At 34.9% G+C, this 24,134-nt stretch overlaps 1 protein-coding gene across 4 annotated transcripts in view, besides 1 other annotated feature; it reads right to left on the reverse strand.

Moving 5' to 3' along the window:
- TRPS1 (transcriptional repressor GATA binding 1) overlaps window positions 1-24,134 on the reverse strand; it is a 260,480-nt gene that overhangs the window by 232,671 nt on the left and 3,675 nt on the right. The gene's annotated exons all lie outside the window — the stretch shown is intronic.
- Window positions 16,996-17,290: an enhancer, noted in NCBI's record as "tiled region #6921; HepG2 Activating non-DNase unmatched - State 24:Quies". NCBI's record gives its function as "activates a minimal TATA promoter and a strong SV40 promoter by Sharpr-MPRA in HepG2 cells {active_cell/tissue: HepG2}" and the evidence as "EXISTENCE:reporter gene assay evidence [ECO:0000049][PMID:27701403]".

Genomic DNA, 24,134 nt, shown 5'->3' on the forward strand with positions numbered 1-24,134 from the left:
AACATTCTTTGTTATGAGACTAGAATCAGCATATGGGAATTGCTCTTTTCCTGCTAAACTGAAGTCATTACTAACTACTCATCTGTGACATGTACTCTTTCTTGTAACCAGGGATTTTAGCTTCACAAAATTTAGAAACTGCCGCATTGTTTCTTGGCATTGCTTTCAAATGTGACATCATTTAAATTTTGGAATATTCCATTTTAGCAAATACACTAGTGGGTGCCAGGTTAAAGATGACTGCCCAAAAAGGGGCAGCAGCGTCTCTGTAGGGAACAACCACAGATTATTCTTTCAACCTATACCATCCCACGCCTTTCACCAGAGGCATACTGAATTACAATGAGCTCAATAAATACATTTCAAAAATGGGTTATCAAATTACCAGCCTATAGCAATGGCTTCCAGTCACTGAAGACCTATATTGAAAAACAACTGTGATATATGGAAATGAAAACTCCATTTTCATTTGGGAGGCCAGGGCAGGTGGATCACCTGAGGTCAGGAGTTCGAGATCACCCTGGCCAACATGGTGAAACCCCATCTCTACTAAAGTACAAAAAATTAGCTGAGCATGGTGGCGCATGCCTGTAGTCTCAGCTACTCGGGAGGCTAAGGCAGGAGAATCACTTGAACCTGGGAGGCGGAGGTTGCAATGAGCCAAGATTGCACCATTGCACTCCAGCCTGAGTGACAGAATGAGTCTCCGTCTCGAAAACAAAACAAAACAAAACAAAACAAAACTCCATTTTCAGTTTTCCTAATTTCCAAAGTCTAAAATATATGTGTAATCCCAGCACTTTGGGAGACTGAGATGGGAAGAATTCCTTGAGGCCAGGAGTTCAGGACCAGCCTGGAAAATACAGCAAGACTCCGTCTTTACAAAAAATTAGAAAATTAGCAAAGGCATGATGGCTTGTGCCTGTAGTCCCAGCTATTTAGGAGGCTGAGGCTGGAAGAGCCCTTGCGCCCAAGAGTTCAAGGCTACAGAGAGCTATGATCGCACCACAGGACACCAGCCTGGGCAACACAGCAAGACCCTATCTCAAAAAAAGAAAAAAAAAAGAAAAGAAACCTGTGTGTATATATATATATACACACATACACATTCAAGACACTACATACATAATAGTCATATATCCGATATGAATCCAACAGAAACACACAGATGGACCTACTGACTCCTTTATTGCTGAGCAAAAAAATAATACAGAACTGTGTTTAAATGACAAAGATGACAGAAAATCAGTATCATTCACAGCCTCTGAAAGTCTTATTTTGGAAATTTTTGTATGATTTCTAGAACTTCTTCCATTATTTAAAAACTTACATAACCAAAAGAGTAATTCTAATCATCTCATCAATACACTCCATAAGCCTCCAATTATGAAACTTGTGAATTTTATAATCCAAATACAATTCAATAGCAGCACCTGCCAACAAAAATTTAAAATTGGTACTCTCAATTAGGGACACCTTTTCTATCAAAAAATGACTCCAAAGGTGCATGGTAATTTCTCCTAGAAAATATGAATGACTGTGTCAGTGTTTAAAAAAATGCTTTGATAATCTAACCCCAGCAAAAACATTAGTAAGTTTAATCATTTTTATTATTCCCCAAAAAGACATATTTGGTTAATGTTTTTATCTGATAATAAAAGCATGCTTACTTCGTGAAAAAAAATATATATATATATAAATATATATATTTAACGTTATATATATATAACACCTCGGAGATACTACACCTCGGAGATACTACAGATTCAGTTTGAGACTACTAAAATAAAGTGAATATTGCAATAAAGCAAGTCACAAGAATATTTTGGTTTCCCAGTGCATATAAAAGCTACATTTACATTACACAATGGTCTATTAAGTGGGCAATAGTATTATGTTTAAAAAATACACTTAGTTAAAAACATTCTTTATTACTAAAAAATACTAACAGTCACCTGAGTCTTGAGCAATTGGTAATCTTTTTGCTGGTCTTGCCTCATTGTTGATAGCTGCTCAGTGGAGGTCTTTGCTGAAGCTGGGGGTGTCTATGGCAATTTCTTAAAATAAGGCAACAATGAAGCTTCCCACATCAACTGACTCTTCTTTCATGAATGATTTGTTTGTAGCATGCAATGCCACTTGATAGCATTTTACCCACGCTAGAACTTCTTTCAAAATTGGAGTCAATCATCTCCAACTTTAATGCTGCTTTATCAACTAAGTTGATGGAATATTCTAAATCTTTTGTCATTTTGACAATGTTCACAGCATTTCCACCAGGAATAGCTTCCATCTCAAGAAACCACTTTCTTTGCTTATCTTTAAGAAAAAGCAACACCTCATCCATTCCAGTTTTATCAGGAGATTGCAGCAATTCAGTCATATCTTCAGGCTCCACTTCTAATTCTAGTTCTCTTGCTATTTCTACCACATCTGCACTTACTTCCTCCACTAAAGTCTTGAAGCCTTCCAAGTCATCCATGAGAGCTGGAATCAACTTCTTCCAAACTTCTGCTAATGTTGATGTTTTGACATCCTCCCATGAATCATGAATGTTCTTAATGGTATCTCAAATGATGTATCCTTTCCAGAAGGTTTTCAACTCACTTTGTCCAGATCCACCAGAGGAATCACTATGGCAGGTATAGCTTTATGAAATGTATGTCTTAAATAATGACTTGAATTTTGAAATTTCTCCTTGATCCAAGGACTGCTGAAAGGATGTTGTGTTAGCAGGCATGAACATAACATTCATCTCTTTGTACATCTCCATCAGAGCTTCTGGGGTGACTGCGTGCATTGTCAGTGAGCAGTAATACTTTTAAAGGAATCTTTTTCCAAGTAGTAGGTCTCAACAGTGCACTTCAACTATTCAGTAAACCATACTGTAAACAAATGTGCTATCCTTCAGGCTTTGCTGTTCCTTTTATAGAGCACAGCTCCACAGAGTAGATTTAGCATAATTATTAAGGGTCCCAGAATCTTTGGAATGCTAAATGAGCAATGGATTCTACTTCAAGTCACCAGCTGCATTAGCCCCTAACTAGTCAGCCTGTCCTTTGAATGTGCTCCTTTGTCTCCACTGAAAATCTGTTGTTTAGTGTAGCCACTTTCATCACTGATCTTAACTAGATCTTCTGGATAATGTGCTGCAGCTTCTTCATCATCACTTGCTGCTTCACCTTGTACTTTTATGTTATGGATGTGACATATCTCTTTAAAACCCATGAACCAACCTCTGCTAGCTTCAAACGTTTCTTCTGCAACTTCTTTATCTCTCTCTCAGCTTTCACCGAATCAAACAGAGGGCCTTGCTCTGGATTAGGCTGTGCCCTGAGGGAATGTCGTGGCTGGCTTGATCTTCTACCCAACCACTAAAACTTTCTCCATATCAGCAATAAGGCTGTTTTTGCTTTCTTATCATGTGTGTGTTCAACAGAGTGGCACTTTTAATTTCCTTCAAGCACTTTTCCTTTGCATTCACAACCTGGCCATGTGGCACAAGAGGCCTAGTTTTTGGCTTCTCTCTTTTTCAGCATGCCTTCCTCACTAAGCATAATCATTTCTAGCTTTCAATTTAAAGTGAGAGACATGAAACCCTTCTTTTCACTTTAACACTTAGAGGTCATTGTAGGGTTATTAATAGGTTGAATTTCAAAATCATTATGTCTCAGGGAATAGGGAGGACCAACGAGCACCAGAGAGACAAGGGAACAGCCAGACAGTGGAGCACTCAAAACAAACACATTTATCAATTAAGTTTGCCATCTTACGTGGGTACCATTCATGGCTCCCCAAAACAATAACAATAGTGACATCAAAGATCACAGACCACCAACTCAGATATAATATAATAACAATGAAAAGGTCTGAAATATAGCAGGAATTTTCCAAATGTGACAAAGAGACATAAGGTAAACACATATTTTTGAAAAAAATGGTGCTGATAGATTTGCTTGACACAGGGTTGCCACAAATCTTTATTTATAAAAAAGGTAACATCTGTGGAGTGTAATAAATGGAAAGTGCAATAAAACGAGGTAATTACATATATATACACACGCACACACATACACACTATTAGCTTGAAATTTAGGATATGTGGTTATAACCCAGAATCACTCTGCTCTAGAGTACACCCTACAGTGGCTATGGAATCACACAACTTCTATTTATTATTCTCCTGCCGAAAAACTGGGTGATCTCAGTAATAACAAACCATTTTTATTAACGAAGTGCTTATGATCATGTAGGATATATTCCACATAATCAAAATAAAACTTCTAAAATATCCAGTGAGAACCACAAAACATTATCTCTAAAATACTACCCCTCAAGAAAGGTTCTGAGGTATTCAAAATTAAAACAACCTACTGAAAAATAAGACAGTCATTAACTTTGAAGAGGAATTGTGTGCTCATTTTGAGGAAGAGGAAAAAATTTCATGAAATTAATGCAAAAAAGTTACTACAAGAGGAAATCCCTGGGTATCAAAAAGTCATATTTTTTAAATCATGTATTAAAATTAGGTACTAATACAAATATTTTTAAAAAATGATGGCACATGTCATTAAAGGCCCAAAGAACAAGGCAAAGATGTACAATGTGAAAAAACAATGCAAAAATACTTCTTGCAAGTTTTTCCAATTTAGACCTTGAACTCGGCACTATTGAATACCAAAGCTTATAGAACTGAAATTCAAACATAACAGAGCTTTTGAATTTAAGGCATGTATTCTACCAAAGGATGACACTGAGCTAGCCTTTTGGGATAATATAATGCCACTCTTTCTACAATAGCTGACGGCTAGAATGCTCAGTTTGTTCCTGTCCGTAAATATCCTAAATATAATTGTTAAAATTAAAAATAAAATAAGGCCTTAGAAATACTATTTTGAATAGTCTAAGCACTCCCATAGTTAATGACACACAGAAATTACAAAGATTAGAAACAGAACAATCATTATCATTATTTATAGAAATAAATATTCAATCGTTTGACATTCACCAAACCTGTTTTACATGTTTTATCTAAACTGATTCTTCCCCCCAAAACCTGTGCCCAGGTACTACTACTCACAGCCTATGGGTGAGAAGACTGCATTCTAGAGAAATTATAGAATTACTTTAAGACTGGTTTTATTCCAACAGAGCCACTTCACAAAAAGGAAAACATAGCTACAACCTATGGGACTTCTAACCATAGCTGGACAGAAGTCTATTCCAGACAATCACATGTCCCAAAAGGCACTGTGATGACTGAACTTTCTTTTAACTTGTATTGTACATATCTGGAGAACAAATAAACTTGAAAAGAGGTCAAAGTGCTCAAATTATAGAAAAATGCAAAATAAAACAAAAAGTTTAGAAAATACTGTGATCCACATTTATGACAACTGAAGTAATAAGTATGCCCCCCATACTCTAGGACTTGCTCCTCCAGCCATGAGAAAAATATATGGTGGACCTAAAGTCTTTATTACTTGAATATTAAAGCCAGTGTTTCTGGTGCTGTGCTTTCAATACCTTTGTTCTAATAAGGTAATTATTTAGCTAAGACGTTTGACGGCAAACTGTAGTTATTAATAATTGGTTTAGTATTATTTTTATCATAAGGTCATGGTTTTCTCTTAAACATATTACTTTAAAAAGAGTTGCCGTGCTAAATCATATATTAAAGGGACAACTTTTTTGTGACAAAACATCTCTAGTTTTAAATACTATAACTTATGAAATCAACTCATGTTATCAACTGAAAAATTCTCCCCTACAGAAAGCAATACTAGAAGTTGAAGTGTTACAAATTAAAAAGAAGGATCTAAACTTCCTTATGTTGTTTTTTGTTTATTTATTTTAAAATTAACGAAGAAATCAAGAGATAAATCCTGTCACCTACAAGTTAAAATGGCCACCTCACATCCAGTCATATATCAACTATTTTCTTTACCTAATATTAGGTACACTGGAAATCTCAAGGCAAAATGAAGCAGTTGGATACAAATTATATGAATCAATATAGCTCAGTCATTGCAAAATATCTCTTGTGGAAAAATTTCAGAACAGCCCTACTAAAAATACTAATTTTCATGATATGGCCTTACTAATATGGACTTCTAGAAAAGGAAATTAATACAGAGGGTATAAAAAGCATGTCCGTAACAAGAATTAATTTAAAAATAAGCTTGATGATGTAAAGAAGGCAAAAACTTGATAGGGATCCACGTATAGCTACTGTCTTAAAGTTCATAATTTAAGAAAAACATAAAGGCCTCAGTTCCCAGAATGCTAAAAATACAGTAGCCTTATATACATATATAGCCTTAGTCACTCCAAAAGGCTTCATGTGCTTTTGAAACTATTACATAAGGTAAATTTTGATTAAGTGACTTTATTTATAGTTTCTGATTGAGAATGCATGAGACACACACTTCCATCTACTCAAGAATGTTTGTGTAAGTAAATATACTTCAAAATATCAGAAACACTTTAAGCAGCTCCTTGAAAACGCTATATGACAAAGTACATGACTAACTTAAAGACTAATAATATTTTCATTAATAAAATCTAGTACTTTATCACAATTTTAGTTATCTCCATAAAAAATGGGCAATTTTGTTATATTCATTTGAGATTATTTTTTCAGATTGTCCTTCTTTGCCTTATTCCTGGACTCATTAATAACCTATGCCATCATTTTAAATTTTTTTGTATTTACATTAGTGCTTAATTTTAATATGTGACAAAAAAAAAAGCATGACTTTTTGATAGCCAGAGATTTCCTCCCATAGTAAGGAACTCCCTTTTTTGCATTAATCTCATGCCTCTTACAGTTTGCCCAATGATCACAGGTGAATAAGATTTAAGGATGAGTAGCTGCTGATGAACCCAATTTGGGATCTGGCAAGAGGAAATCAGAGCGTCAAATCAAGGAGGGGTGGCAGCAAAGAGGAAGCAAAAGAGAAGACAAGAGGAAAGAGAGTTTATGGAGAGAGGAAGCCAAGTTGGGAAGTGGGGAGAAGGGCAGGCTGGCCAGGGGATGCGACGCGACAGGGCAGAGGGAGTGGGAAGAAGCGGGCAGGAGGCGGCCTCCACGCAGCTGGCAGGGCAGGCAGCGCTGGAGAGGGAGGAGGAGAGGGAGGCTGCAGGCACCGCGCAGCAGCCGAGGATGAGAGAGGTAACCGGAGGGAACGGGCGCACACAACTGCTTCCGCAGGACTTCCTGCGATAACACGCCCACAGCCCGGGCGCCGAGCACGCGTGGTGGCGGCCGCAGGCCCGGGGCTCCTGCGAGAGCGAACGCCAGCGACACACACGCAGCTCCTGTTGTGTCGCCGCTGCCGCCTAGGCAGGGCCGCAGACAGCAGCCTCCTTCCCAGACTGAGCCAACTCACTCTCACCGTAGCTGCTCCAGAATCCGTGAAAAGAAAATGGAATGCTATTTCTGTTCCTGATCTGCAGTTCTGATTCTTTTTTCTTCTTAAAAACAAAAGGAAAAATTTTTTTAAAGAAAATGTCCCTTATTATTATTATTTTATTTCTCTCGCTACACTATCCACTAAAGCACACTGCGTCTTTAAAGCTCTTTCATAAAATATAAATTACTTAAAAATCTAACAGACACGCTGGATAATAACTGATGAAAGTACTTTTTTAAGTCTAACCCAAACCACGCTTTCTTTTTTTTTTTCTTTTTTGTCTTTGTAGCACACATAAGCTACCTCAGATTCAAAGCTGTCAATACTCCATGTGGAGCAGGGGTAGTTACCCAGGAGTATAAATAAACTAAGAAATACAAAGCCATAGGATTATCAGGACAGTACCACATCCCTGTCATTCAACAACTTCCCCTTCCAAGAGGGTGCTGATCACAGACTTTTTACTGTAATGGGGCCAAGAAGAGACAGTTACTTAAACTAATAGAGTTCTTTTTATAACAAGAGACTGCAGATATCGCTACAGAAAGAATACCGGTTGTATGTTTCCTGAATTATTACTAAAAACATTTGTTTAAATGTCTCATATATAAAGGTGATGGCCTTATCTCTGACAATGAATTAGGGCCTAAGGAGAAAGCAAATTGGAACACTGTTAACATTAAAAAGTCAGCTAGTCTTTGAAATACCATTATAATACTACCTTGGAAGATACAGCAACTCAAATCTTGTTCACCCACCAGATAAGAAACAAAGTAGAGGGAGCCTCAGCTCTTAGGGCCAGGCTGCCTGGACTGAAATCCTGACTCTGCTACTTGCTACCTGTTGTAGCCTAGGCAATTTATTATACTTTCCTGAGACCCAGTTCTCTCCATTCTATAAAATAAAGATGACAGCAGTTTCTATCTCAAGTGAAGACAACATACAGCACACTGCTCAACCAGTGTGAATCAGGATCAGCATTTTAAGGCGGCCCCAATGGAAGACGAACCTCTTGGAACGCAGCCTTTCCCTGGTCAACCTAGCTCACCTATGGCCTGAGGTTGCACTCACTTTTACTTAGTAATCAGTGCTTAGCTGCGCATCTACCAAGTCAGTTATTACTACACGCAGCTCATTTCTATGCAAACCGTGTCCAGCCTTTGGGCAAAGTTTGCATGCCCTCTGCTCCCTGATGTTCACAAGTGAAAACACTAAGCCCAACACATTTAATGTCCTCCTTCCCATCATTAAAGGGCACCACGCAGCTTTAGCAGCCAGGAAACTAGCCCAGCACACATGCTGTACAGCTGGCAATAGAGGCATCTTCAACAGCATCCACTCCTACATACAGTCTGATAAGGAACATTTTAATGGAGCCAAAACATCCATTTCCTTCCTCTATTTCTGCATTTAGCAAACAGGAGAGCTGGACAATCATATCAGGGATTATGAAATGGCCACTAGGGCTACCAGAACAGCAGGTCTAAATTTCGCCTACTCACTTTCAACCAAAAGTATGCACCCTTTCAGTTGTGGAAAAGTACAGAGGATTTTAAAAACCCCTACTTATTAACTAGCATGTACTCTACAGTGAAACTGTTTCTACTGTGGCTTAATTTGCAAAATCCAAGCAGATATTACTTTTAAAAATCCAACTATCTCTTTCAAAGGATTTGTAAAGTTGCTTACAGACATAAGGTGACATCAGAAAAGCATGTTGGTATAATGCAATTAGCTAAGGTTTCTAGGAAGCTTTGGAATGTTTTGTTTTTAAAGAAGGCATAGATAAGTGCAAGTCCTACAAGTAATGAACTGTCCTAGAAGCAAAGAAATTCATTAAATAGATCTCCTTGATTTCTCCTTCATGGTCCCATGTCCATAGAGATTGGGAATGTACAATAATAGCAGGGCTTAATTTTCCAGAGCTGTTTAAAGTAATATTTAGGTGCTTAACAGAGTTAAATGTTAAATCAAAGGGACTTCCCAATTGTCAGATAAAATAATTCTTTTAAGTTAAAAAAAAAAGTTCTTAAACTTCAAAATTGTTCCCAGGCTTTTAAGATGAAATTAAAAGTGATTAGTAAAAATCAAACATTCAAAGAAATCTCAGAGGCATTGTTGTTCCAACATGAAAAACGTCTCAGCAGCTATTATTCAGTTATCACTTGATTGGCTATCACTGAGGGAAACGTGAATATTAAAAATATTTGAGCAAAGAGGAATCCAATATCCTCTTGCTGCCATAAACCTGGGCATCTCAAAGCAACATTACCTATGGTTGTGCTCAGCTCCTAACCCTACTCATCAATATTCATGTTAGATCTCCTGACTCTAAATCACCCTTGCCCCCTCAGCATGCAAGCATTGGGCCCACTTACAAGTAACTTTCATCCTGAAGCCAAGACATAAGCCATTGTCCTCAAACATCACAACACAACCTTTGGGCCTGAGAACATTCAAAACATGGACGTTAAAAAGGCACATTTCTGACTCATGACCTTAGAGCCTAACACTGTTATCCTCAATTAAGGACACACCATGTATCATCTTGCATCTCTGATTAGTTCATAGTGTCTCACATATAATATCAGTAAAGTACAAGGCTGCCTGTGTTCTCCTTTTTTTATACTTTTCAAATGAATTCAGGCTTCCCCTTTGCCTTAGTTTCACTGACACTGTCCCACTTCGCTAAATGACATTAATCGATAAAAGGCAGGATTTGCAAGCACACTGCAAAATACAACATACTCCGTTGCAACCAGTGGTATCCTACCTTAGGAACGATATATTAGGGCAAACATCAAGAAACATCTAGAACTTATGCAATACCAGATAATCTTTATTTTCCTCTGAAACCTGACAAACCAATTTCACAATTTTCTCAGTACCTGAAAGTCTATGTTGCCAGCCAAAGTGTTCTTCCCCTATGTTCCTATTTAATGCAACACTTTTGAGAACTACTGCATCCAAGTCATTTGTAAAGGGAACAAAAATGAATTACGTATGCTCTCACTCTCCTCAGGTTCATGATGCCCGGTAGCTTCTGGTATGAGCTATGCTAAAGCCACACATAAACAGGAGCACAAGGCGGGGATGTTTTAACCTAAATGAGCGGAGGTAGAGCGTTTCAGGAAGAAGAATACAGAAGTGAACATGCCGAGGAACAGATAGAATCCCTGTAGTTAAGGTTGCGTAGAAGGCATTTCATAAGGAGGGAAGAATATGAACAAAAGTCGGTGTGAGAATGTTCTAGGACTAGAAAGCACTATAGTAAGGATAGACACATGATGTAGTACATTTGGAACTGGTAAATTGGGGGCAAACTGAAGGGTCCTGAATGCCAAATTAAGGATGATAAACAAGTTTAAAAGCAAGTACTTACGGAGGCTGAAGGCCACTGATATGGGAACTCAGAACCAAGTTAGGTCTAGAGGTGAAGGCTCAGAAGTTATTTCATTTGGATAAAAACCTAAAAGCATAAAACCCTCCAAGAAAAGTGCATAGATTAAGAGAACATTCAATGATAGACTAGAACAAGTGTGGCAGAGATGCAGTGCCTAGAAGCCAAGCCAGAAGAGATACCCAAGAGAATGGCTGACAGCATCCAATTCACGTGAGAGATGCAGTCAGATGGAAAGACCACTGGGGCTTGGCTTCCATGAGGCTACTGGCGACTTCAATACAGCAATGTCAACAAACAGAGGCGCCTTGGCAGATATCGCTTAGTTGAGAAATGGAGATTCACATGAAATGAAACCCAGATTTGGGGATTCAATATTTTCTCCACTCTGAGGTTATTTTTATGTCTGAGTAGGTTTCTCTTTTATCTGAAACAGAACAAACTCCGTATCTGACTTAAAAACATTCTAATTAATAAATCTCAACAAGCAACGTTTTGACTTTATGCCATGTCACCTGCAAGTTGAAATCCATCTGGAAATAAATAAAAAGTAGCCATTTGTTTTGTTTTACCTTGTCTTGTTCTAAACTTTCAAAGGAGCCATATTCAATATTTGTTGTTACCTAAAATCCATCCCTTGCTTAAAACCTAATCTATCTCTCAGCTTCATTAGCCATGTATAAGCTACAGAATTGCATTTGGACTTTTCCTAGATTCCAAGAATGGTCCGTAATCAATCTACAACTGGATTATAATCCAAATAGCCAGAAGATAATGCTATTTAATTAGCTTCTATAAAATATCCACGATAGTCTGTGTTCACAAATATGCCTCATGAGGTCAAGTATAAAATAGTTTAAAGAATGTCTGAAAAGGAGTTTTCCAAAATAGGTGACTACATTAGCATAGTTGTGATTCAGGGGAATTAAAATACAGTTAAGTGTATACTGATTTATCAGGAGGGCAAATCCCTTAAGAGGTGGAAATAAACATTAAAATACAGCAACTCATCTTATTTAAACCTTATCTGGATATCACCTGTTATAAAAACCAACAAAAAACGGTGTTTTCTGATAAACAAAGCCCAGAATAAGAGCTATTTTGCCTTATTTTGATCTGCAATGCCAAGAGTACATGGAAAGGTTCCAATCTCTCAAAGTCAAAGAAGAAAACGAGATATTTTACATACAGGGGGAGAATTATGTAAAAAATAAATAACATTAACAAAATCATTAAGAAAAACTAAGGCTCATAAGCACTGATAGGGTTTCCTATGGTTCTATAAGGTATACAATGAATGGTAAGTTATAATTCACAGTCTGGGTGAAAAATAAATTTTGCTATATAGAGATAGTAGCCACAGGACAAGGAGGAAAAAAACAGATGATTATGTAATAATAATGGAAGTTTTCAGCCTTTCTTCATATAGTATGCTCACCACACCAAGAAAGAGATTTTACGTGGGATGATCAGCATACTAGTCAAAATAGTTCCTTAACCCATCTTAAAATTGCTTTTTAATGTCAAAGATCATTCTATAGTTTTCTGATTTAATTGATTATATCTGACGGAATGAGTAAGATTATTTTCCACCAGCAAACTGTTTCATTTAAAGGAATAACTATTTACAAGATATTTATAAAAGGCTTTTCACCTGAAAGAAACATTAAAGAAACAAAACAACCAAAAAAGAAAACAAAACAAAACAAAAAAGACAAGGCTGCCTTCTGGCTAAAAGACAGAGCGGAAAATCCATGCAAATGGAAGTACAATGTCTTCTTCACCCTGCGACTCAAGATGAACTGAACGGGGTTCAAATACAGACCCTGGACCAGCCCAGCGGTTTCCAGGGCCTGACACACCTCCTCCTCCACCTCCTCCAGCATTTCAAAGACACTTCTGGAGCTATGCTCTGAAAGAGCTTGGGGGCTGTCTTAGGTTCAACATCTTTCTGCATGGTATTTACCACAATTCTTTAAAATCCAGAGGTGAAAATGACAATAGCATTGGGGTTGTAATGTGTGAATTTCACTTATGTGGGCATTCACCCTTTGGACTATACAATATAACTATTAGGTTTGAAAGATAAGAAACAAGGGATTTAAGTAAAATACCTCAGAAGTCTAAGAAGACAGAGAAATATTCCTGTATTTCCACTCCAACAAAGTATGATTAAAATTAGCTTAACTATAATCAATAAACATAAATGGCATCCATATTGTACTGTGAAGTCATGGCTAGAAATGGAAAGTTGAGAAATTTAAAAGAAAAATAGAGGCATTAAATGTATATTTTAAATTATTTTCACTACATTTGAAGTTGAAATTTATCATTCAAAAGACAGGATTCATAAGGAAAGTATTTAAAATAAATGAGGTTCTTTTATTTTTCTTTCATTAGTTTTTTATAAATGCTGAGGAGTTTATGTAAAACACCACTTATGGTTTTTCCAGCCAGATTTTAATAACTAATTGCACATTTCAAGCCTAATCTCACAGATGCCATCTACAGTTTTTCAACCTGCCAAGGGAACTATGACTGTTATGAATAAAGAAACATCCATTTCATGGAAGATAAAAATATCCTTAATTCAAATGGACTATTTTTAAAAATACTACTCTCTATATAGATAAATGTTAAAGCTGCTTTAAGCTAAAGGGAAAAGTAATACAAACTAGCTTCTTATTAGTGACCATTTTCATAAGCAGTTTTTCAGTACCAATTAGATTTTATCTAAATGAATCCAACATTACTATTGCTAAGGTGTCTGAAAAAAGCATTAAGCCTAGATTTTTCACAGTAATTCTTTAACTTTCTGTGATAGCTTCTAAACATTTGATGCCCATATCTAAAGTACTGATAAAGAAATAATGTGAATATATCAACTGATTCATTATGATCATCAATTTCTCACTGCATCCTAATAAATGACATTTTAATTCTATTCTCATATCCATGTGCAAAAGGAAAAATAAAGACTAATGAATCTTAAACAGTGGGCAGATTTCCTCAGCAAACATCAAAATCACCTAGTGTTTCACATATGAATGAGGATGGTGAACGGACCCAAGTTCTAGTTCAGTCCTTTAACCAAGTAGGGGGAAGTCACTTTTATCTTCAGTTTTCTTGTTTGTAAAATAAGATCATGCTAGAATGGATAGTAGCTCAAGTCCGTTCTGTCACTCAGAATAAAACATGACCCAATGTTCACTTTGATATACCTGAAGTAAAGAAAAACAAAGAAGTAAAACCAAACTTGAATGGCAGATTTTAGACTGACCAGCTGAAGAAAGTTCCATCATTGAGAAAAGAAGTGTTTCCTTGGCCAAGGTCTATTTCTCCATAACAGAATGTTAGAAGAATCTTAAGCCTAAACCCGTATTTTCTCCTTTTGTGGGAAGCTGAACATTGTACACTTTGGCACAATGTGTCCAAAGCAGAATAGATGGGGGCCAGCTCTTATGGTGAAATCACAGAACTAAGAGAGTCATCTCAGAGACTACACCATTTACCCTACATCTGATTCCAGGGAGGTGATTTCATCTATTCTTCCATTTGTATGTTTTTGTACATGGTTTTATTAATGTAACCTAATGAAATAAAATGTACATTCTGTTAGCTCAGAAAGTTAATATATATGTACATGATCTTTTGTCAAAAAACATTTCATCAATTATTTTTACAATGGTGTTTATGAAAATAAACCCCCACCTTCTCCCATATTAGGAAAAGATGAAAAGAGCTACTGAACTTTTCATAATTTATCTGTACATAGAGGCTTTGAATTAAATCTAAAAACATCATCCTGCCTCTTCTATTGTATTCCAAATGGGCAAATTTTTAAAATTACACTTTCAAAATAACACGTTAACAAGATTCAAAATCAGCACATTATCTTAATTACACAACACCGATGTGATTACATCGGACCAAACATTTTGGCAAAATGTTTGCCTGACATCACAGGAACCAAACAAGGGGATAGCTGGTTGAAATGTCCACATTTCTACCGGTGGAGACACCAAAATATTGTTAAATACACTCTACTAGCAACGGAAATAATGAGCTCTCTCAGAATCAATTCCACTTTGCAGGGACTAGCATGGGTAATGTATTAGAGATACTAAGTTTGCAATTTGGTATCTTAAATTTATTTAGGGCCTAATGCATTTATTCCTCTAATGAAAATGTTTTCTAGTAGTATTCAAGATATATGTGCAGAGCTGTTACTTTTTACAGTAGCAGCTTATTTGTTTTTACACATAATTATAATTTAAGAATGCCGATCGTCTCATGCAAAGCAGTCGAAAAACAAAAACAGCCGACAAAACCAGAGAAAGCTTTCTTTATTCTAAAATGTCTTTACATTAAAATATGTCAGATTAAAGTCTCCACTCTACATACAGATTTAATTTTTAACCCTGTGTCTGGGCAGTATTTTAAATTTTCTTATCACTTTTGGAGAATTCCACAGAACTATCTTAAGCTAGTTTCAAACCTGGTAAAAGTTGTGAGTTCTTTTTTTTCTTTTTCCTCCCATCAAATTTTGAGATATAAAATGCATCATGTCTAAATGAGAAACAATTAAATGTCATATTATTTTACACCATTCATAATTTTCAACTAATCACAAAGAATACTATATGATTTTCCAACATCACTGTTTTTTTGAAGTGAAAATGATTTATGAAAGGATTTCCCTCTAACTACTCCTTAGAAATGACCAAAATATTTTATCATAAAAAGGTGTGACAGGAGAACTGAAATCACTGATCTCTCAATTTCTGATGCATCAAAACATTTCTGAAAACACAAGAGAAAATAAAACAAAATAAGTGCAAAATTCATTTGCATTTTACAGGCAATAACAAGGTTTCTGGAATAAGAAAACCCCGAAAAGATAAAGTACTTCCTCTACTTTCTGATAAGCTTTAAAAGAAAAAAACTAAACTAAATATTTCAAAATCAATGGACTTCAAGTAATCCAAGAGAATTTGGAAAACATTTCTCTAAAAACTAATCCAGAACACAAGGTGTCAGTTTGGAAATAATGGAAGCATATTTCGTTTTAAAAATCTAAAACATTTTAAAGACAAAAATTCAAGTTAACATCCCAGTGATTAACTCTGGAACTGCCTAGCCAAAAACAACTTTCGGCACTTAAAACATAAAACTGTCAGTTTCCTCTGCTTGGAGACAAAACATACAAAAAGCAAACATTCACTGTTATATTTTCCTAGACATGAAAGATAGAACTAACTTTCATAAAAGGTGATCACTCTGAGTATTTCTACCTGATATGATATTCATGTCGTAGCTCCTAAAAATCAGTTACAAATTCCAAACCTCAGAACTATCCTTAATAGATGGCTACTATTCTAGTTTGCGTTACTCCCTCGACTTGATGGAAGTACAATCATTTATTGAACTACACTAGCTCAACTCATAAATACGTTAAGAAGCCTGTGACTGATGTTATTGAATTTATAAGCTACCAGAAACAAGTAAACTCCTTACTGTAGACCTCAAAGAGTTGATAACATGACACTTGGCATTGTACCTCTTGGGAATCTAAAACATACTGATGGTGAGAATCTTTCAAGTATTCTTCTGCCCTAAATCCAGAAAACATGACTTTCAAGCATCATCCATGGTCGAATGGTCAAATTCACATTTATAAACTTGGAATAGAGAGTTTGGTGGAAGTACTGCATAACTAAAATTGACTTTTTTTAAAAGCCAGAACTATGTCACAGTTGGTGCTTATAATTGTTTCAAAATTATACAACTTTATTTAATTCCATGCAACGCATTTCCACATAGAAATGGAATAGCAAACTCCTACTCAATAGCAAACAATAAAATAAAATAAAATAAAGTATGTAAGCTTTTTCCTCTTCTTAGACACTGTCCCCAGAATGGAAAAGTTATAAAGAAAGGTAGGTAAAAATCCTGCAGCTTACACATTTTTCCACTGAGAAGGCAAATCCTTACTCCTCCAGAAACTAAAATATTAGACCCCAAACAGTGTAGGGGGAAGAGGGGTAGGAAGTTGAAAAAAAGAAAAAAATGATGATAAAGCAGGGCAGAATAAGCCAGAGGAAGCATGCTTGGTCTCAGCATAATTTTCTTTAGCATCCTAAAATCAACGACATCATGCTGCCCATGATCTCTGCTTACTCTTCTGTAACCCAGTCAGAGGATTTTCAAAAAGGAAGAAATCTAGTTGTGCTTCCAAATGCCAAATGAACTTACAGGACCTTCCACTCCTGAAGGAAAACAGCACAGTAGCGCACCAGAAGCTAGAGAATGCCTTGAGTCACGCAAAGCCGGAACTGATGAGTGTGACCCCAGTGGGGTTTATCTAAAATTCCCAAGTACAACAGGCAAAGGGGTCAAAGTTTTCTATGTCAGAGATATATAAATAAAGCCATATGCAGCAACCGTTCCTTATGTTATCATGGATTATACAGTATCCTAGTCCCCCTTCTGTTCAGATATATATACATCTCTCTTTTAAAGAAGGAACTGAAAATGGGAAAAATTAAAAGGAGGGAAACCTGCTAATACTACTATCTACCCCCAGTTCTCCAGCTCTAATCATTATTACTCTCATTTTTAAAGTGTTAGTATTGCCAAGGACACACTGAATCGTTCAGGAAGTGAGAAGAATATGTATGTCCATAATTATGTGCTAACAGTGATATACTGAATTATTCTGGGAGTAAAAAGTACATGATGTACATAAATGTACACAAATACATGTAACACTAAATACAAATATGTGTAACACTAAATGTACACAAATATGTGTAATGTTGAATAAAAATATGTATAACACTAAAAAGCTGAATGTTAGACACAGTGAAGGTGCAAGATTGTGTACACATATTTACACATAAAATGTGTACATTATTATTTTTACCAATGACCTAAAATCATCTTACTGGCAGCTTTCTTAAAGCTTATCAAAGTAAAAAGAAAAAGCAAAATATGTTATAAATAATGAGGGCATTCCTTCAAAAGCACAAGTTTTCTTAAAAACGGGACTTTAAAAATAGAATAAACAGTGATGGGATAGAGTAAAATAGTTTATTATAATTGAGGTTTAGATGACAGTGAGTTTCTTACAGTAATTTACCACATCATACATCCAAAGAATGTAATTCAAATGCATTATAAATACAAAGGAGAAACATCTCTTAGTGTTGGTTTATAAGCTACAGAAAATAGTATTTCATATTTTTCAATCCTTGAATGTGTAACTACTTACTGACTACTTGTAAATTATTTTCTAAAACTTCCCTAAGTTTGCAGAACTGAGGAGCAAATTTTGCAATAATCTTCTAAAAAGGTATACTTCCAATATTAATTTAAAGACAGCTTAACATATTCCGTATTTTTTAATTTATAATTTAAATATAATTACTAATATAAAAATTCAGCAGCCAAACACAGGTAAAACATATCATTTTAAAAGATCTCAAAGGTATATCAAAAAATAATCGATAAAGAATTATGAATCATACAACAAAGAGATGAATATGTATTGAAAAATTTAGTAATATGGGCCTTGATTAAAATTAATATATATATGACCTGTCTTAACTTGGCATCAAAAAGCAAAGCAAAAACAAATACAAAACTTTCTTTTAGGAACTTTTATATGTTCAGAGCTACTTAAGAGTATTGAGAGAAAATGGGCTGATGTATTTTATTTCCACATCTTGCAAAGCTAAAGATGATGTGCAGATAATGACATCACAAAGTAGGCACAAGTAGAATTTGGTTTTTAATTTGTTTTGTCTATCATGCTCTCATTTCAGAACCAAAATTACAATTAAATTAACCCTCAAATAGGTGTTGGGATGCATTAAGTAATTAAAATGGGCATTACAAAGACTAAAGTCATTTCAAAAAATATGCAATATGCTAAAATTCCATGTAGTGCCTGTAATGTAAAAACATTCTAAGCAAGTGAGACTATAGCTATCCTGCATGTACATGTACGCACTTATTTAATATGAAGCCACAAATTCATATATTCCACTTCTGCATAGCTCAGAGAGCAAAAGCTAACACTAGATTAGTAATGCTTGATCCCTTTGTACATGAAGTGTATCATGTAATAGAGAAATTAGATTCCACAAACTAATTTCTGCCATATATTTTTACACTATTTATAAACATATCTGATCTTCCATATGATATGTAGAGAAATTGAAATAGCAATTCACATTGTATTGTAGAATCTAATCAGGAAGCACATGTTATATTATTAATGTTTATTGATTTGTAAGCTTTATACATTCTGTCCAAATTCTACAAGTAAAAACAGCTCTGAAATCCTTTTGATCTTTCTTTTTCTACAGCTAAGGTATTTTTAGTGTTTAAATAGCAGTTGATGTCTTATCTATTGTCTTATACGGTACTGGATTCATTCCTGGTTACTATAATACTCAATTTAACAACTAGTAATATTAATGCTTTTTCCAAGCTTGGGACATATATAGCAGATAATATAAACATGTTTACTATGATTTATGATACTATACTACTCACTATCATGAATACAAAGTAATTAACAGATAAAGCTATTATGAACGCAAACAAGAGAACCATGCTCCCCTCAAAAAAGAAAAAAAGAAATGGAACATAAACTGTAAATACTTGTATATTTCCTTCTAACACTATCTAGTATATTAGACAAATAGCTAACAATAAATCATTTGTTTATTCATGTTAAATAAATTTAATATGTACATTAACTTCTGACTTAACTTAAAAGTATATGGAATGTTTTCCAGAGACTATTTTGACTGTGTCAATTACCCTAGATACCAAAGTTGTTGTATTGTGTTGCTTGATGAAATAGGACATAGATCAACCCTCAAAACCAGTATTACAAGCCTGGCAAATAGCATCACATTTGGGTGACGCACAGAATCCATCACCCTAGGGAAAAATGCATTGGGTCATAGTACAGAGTCTTTACATGTTCCATATTATTTCTACATAACGTTTTGAGATGATAGAATTGTAAACTATAAAGTGGTAGCCCATAAAGTGATATACTCACAAACAGTCCTGTCCCTTAACTGCTCCTCTTAACAGAAATGAGACTTAAAAAATGATCTCAGAAGCATTTCTTACAATACACTGAAAGGTGGCATTTTGATTTATAATTTTTTTCATTTAAAAAAATTCCTTAGTAAATTCAGAGCAGATATAAGTATTATGATAACAATTGATTCATTATGTTTAAACTCCATACTCATTTCAAACTTTTAGACTTCATAATGTAGGTCATGTTAACTCCTTAAAAGATTCACATTTCAAGCACAGAGTTAATAGTTAGCATTCTAAATTCCACCATCAAGATGTGTCTAAGTATTATCGGTCTACATACATTCCACATATAAAACACACCTATAATAGCATGCACATATATTGGCAATAATTCAAACATAGCAAAGCTATCGTGAGTACTTCAAACATTTGCAGGCAATTACATTGCTAGAACTCCTCTCATATTATAGGTATCCTATGACAAGCTACTAAAAAATTACACAAATCAAAAAGTGTTACCTTTGTTCAAATAATACTGCTGTTCATTATACAACAGAAAACATCATCCTTAATCTCTCAGGAACCAAGATAGTGGTGGATTCTTGGAGCAGAAGTAGTGCAGAATGGTTTGCGGCAAAATCGAAACATATTGTTTAAGTAAACCTTAAGGGGAGGGGAGCATATGCGCAATTGATGGATTTTTTTTTTTTTTTTTGGTATCATCTTCCACAAAACCTCCCACCAACCCCTCCCCACCACTTACCAGTAAACAATCTGCGATATTAAGGGACTGCAACTCTAAACACCTCCCTTTGCCTTATTTCCTTCTTGCTAAACTTTATTGCTTTTCCTCATTTTTGAAGCAACAAACAAAATTCATTAAATAAAAATTTATTAACAGATGCAGCCATAACATGAAATGTATGTTTGAAAACTTTGTAATAAATAAAATGAATCTAGACTTACTCCAAGAAACTTGCACTATGCTGATGTGAACAACATATACATTAAGTTCCTAAAGTTTTTCCAAACAAATCTTTAACTAAAGAAGCCATAAGCAAAAAAGGAATGCCTACGATTTGAACTAGAGTCTGTAACTCTCGCAAGAAAAACTGAGAAACATATCAAGTAAATCAAAACTGTCAAATTTATAAGCAGAGAACACTTCAATGCCCCAAATTTGCGGAATGCTTTTTATAGTCATAAATGCCTTAAAGACTGTACTCTTCCTTGTGTGACACTTAATTTTCACTATATATATTATTCCTTAAATGTGCTCTAGGTAAAGAAGGAAAAAAAAAATCTATCAGGAAGAATTTGGGTTAAAAGCAAAGTCCACGACAAGTAACCGTAAGATTTAAACCTCAGGAACAATTCACAAAAGAAAAGTCGAAACAGTACTTAGTTCTGAGCCACCGAATGGGGCGGAGGGCCTTCCACTAAACCCAATAATTTCTGGGTGGAGTGTCTTTTCCCAAGGAAGAGAACACTAGCACAAATCTTTTTGCCCCCTAAAAAGATTTTCCTACTTGCCAGCTTCTGAAGTTGCCCTGATGTCAATCAACATCACCAAGATGTCTCTTAACTGGAGAAAGTTCTGTTTGCCTGTGCAAAGTCAGAGAGAAAGAAATGACTATTTATAAAAAAAAAAAAAAAAGGAAACTATAAATACTGTTTGATAAATAGGGTTAAAAAATTATCATCTAAAATTGTAAGAAAAAAAGAGCTGCCTGTAGAAACGCACTGACCCTTAAAATTAATGTTTTCAATCTAAAAATGCATTTTCGTAAAGTTTCATCTATTTTCCTTCCTCTGCACATAAAAATGATTAATGTCACATTTAAACTTCCACATTTTAGGCTCTTGCTAACAGGTGTCGCATTCGTTATATAAACATATTCTTTGACCTGTGGCCATTGATAACCTTAATTAATTAATCTCCATTGAAACAAAAACAAATGGATTTTTTTTCCAAATAAGAAAGAAATAATGCAACGCAAATACCCACTTTCCCCAAAACCCAAAAACTGTTTAAGTTACGGTAACCTGAAATGCACCAGCCATCACAAAGAGCAATTGGAGAAATCCAGCAGTGCTCAGCAGGAAAGATTTTTAATAACAGATTGAAAAACAAGAATAAAAATAACTGCATCAACAGAGCCTTTCTTCCTCAGGCCACAAGCCCGTTCTTACTTGAACTTTTTTTTTTTTTTAAATGGCATTTTGGCCACTAAAACCAATCCAGAACATTATTAAAAGTTAAAAGCTACCAATTACTTCTGTCTGTTCTTTTAAAGCAAAGTTTGGCATTACGTCAGTTGGTTTAAAGAAAACAAGAAAGAGAGAGAGAAAGAGTAGGAGAGAAAGTTTCCTGCTTGTATAAACTAAACCACCAGGGAAGGTGTCTAGCCACTTGTAAAGTATTTACTGCAGGTTTTTAAAAGCTAGAAACATTTTAAAAATTAAAAGTTTTTTGTTATTATTTTTAGTGAAACACACTTAAGAACGACAAGTGTATCCTTAATGTCTTCTTTGGGGTGTCTTAATGTTATATTTGTATTTCAGTTATAGCTTAGAATCAGAAAATGATTTCAAATGATGCTCCAAATTTGAAGTACATAGATAATTTCACCTTCATTTTTGCTATTTGGATTTGTGCTCTTGGAAAAGGAAAAAAAAAAAAAAAAAAAAAACTGGGATAGCAAAAAGTAGACCGCTACGATAATAGCTGCTATATGCTGCAGGGACCAGTAGAGTTTCTTCACCTAACTAATGCTTAACAATTCAAATGGTTTTCACCTGTAGATCCTACTGCACCTTCAGAGATTCCTGAAGCTCAAAGATCTCTTTCTAACCAAAGTCAAGTTCTACATTATTGTGTCCATCAGAAAACCAAACTAAAGGCCAAATTCAGTTCTCAGGAATAGGAGAACAACTGAGCACTGTGATAGCTCAAAAAGTGATCATAATAATAAAATCGAAGATATTATTTATAAAGGTCATATATAATTAATAGAATATTTTATACAAACAAATGACTTTGGCCCTACTTACATCGGAGGATAAATTTTAAAAAGTAGTTACATCCTCTGCAGCACTGTTTGCTATAGAACAATGGTATAAAACAAGATTTGGTATTTTAGCTTATTTACTTTAATCCACTGGTTACAGCTTTTGGGAGACAAATTATTTTTAAAATTACACTAAAACAAACCTCTACATAATTTTTAATGTAAATAATTGCAAAGTATGTTAGTCTTTTCTATACATGACAAGCACTCTTAAACAATTAGATTAAATGTCTACTTGGCAAAGGCTAGAAGACCATCTTTATGCTATATCTAAGGGGGACTCAAAAATTCCATAAATCATAACTATTATGGTAACAAAGAATTTACTTATTTCTGTATAATAACAAAAGATAAATGTCATTTTCACAGATAAGCCATCAAAGTAAACGCAAGTCTACGTATGCTGTCATTAATTTCCCAAAACTTCAACAAATGGTAAATAAGGATGATAAATGAGTAAACAAGACTCAGAATTAGTTATCAATGGTATTAGCAGTTATCATCAGCAAAAGAGGGAGAAAAAGAAACCTATTACCTGAAAGCTTGACCTAGCAAGGATGAACAACAAAATACGAGCCCATAAAACTTGCGGGTTTTTATCAAATTGATTGTAACTTGTGAGCTGCAATATTTGGGACAGAACTGTCTGAGTTTATAGTTTTCTATGCCTGCTAAAAACAGATGCAGACTACCACACTAGCTGTCCTGCGGAAACTAAATTAAGGAAAGGCAAATACCAAGTGGAAAGTTGTCAGCCTGTTGAATGAATGGCTTCATTTTACACACCAGAGAAATCTTAATAAGAATATGTTTTAATGTAAGCCAGTCATTTTAAGTTCATCACTTATTACAAAAATAATCTTTCCTTTAAATCAATTATAGACACCTGCCCATAACTTTCTTAAAGTCTGTGTTGTTGTACACGTAATAGCATAGTGTTGTTACATTATTGTTGCTATCAAAAGAAGAACTGAAGTTAAAATATAATTATTCTAAAATATTCATGTTATGAAAAATGTTTAAAGGTCAGTTATCAGCATTTATTCCAATTTCAAATTTGGAATAAAGTTCTAGTTCAAAAACAATTTGCTGCAAGTCCTCTGGAAACTTTCAGTAATGTTTATTTACAACAAAGAAGGTAAGACAAGCGTTTATAAAAATCTACAGTCTTTGGTTGCT

Source organism: Homo sapiens, chromosome 8 (assembly GCF_000001405.40).
Source record: "Homo sapiens chromosome 8, GRCh38.p14 Primary Assembly".
NCBI classification, from domain to species: domain Eukaryota; kingdom Metazoa; phylum Chordata; class Mammalia; order Primates; family Hominidae; genus Homo; species Homo sapiens.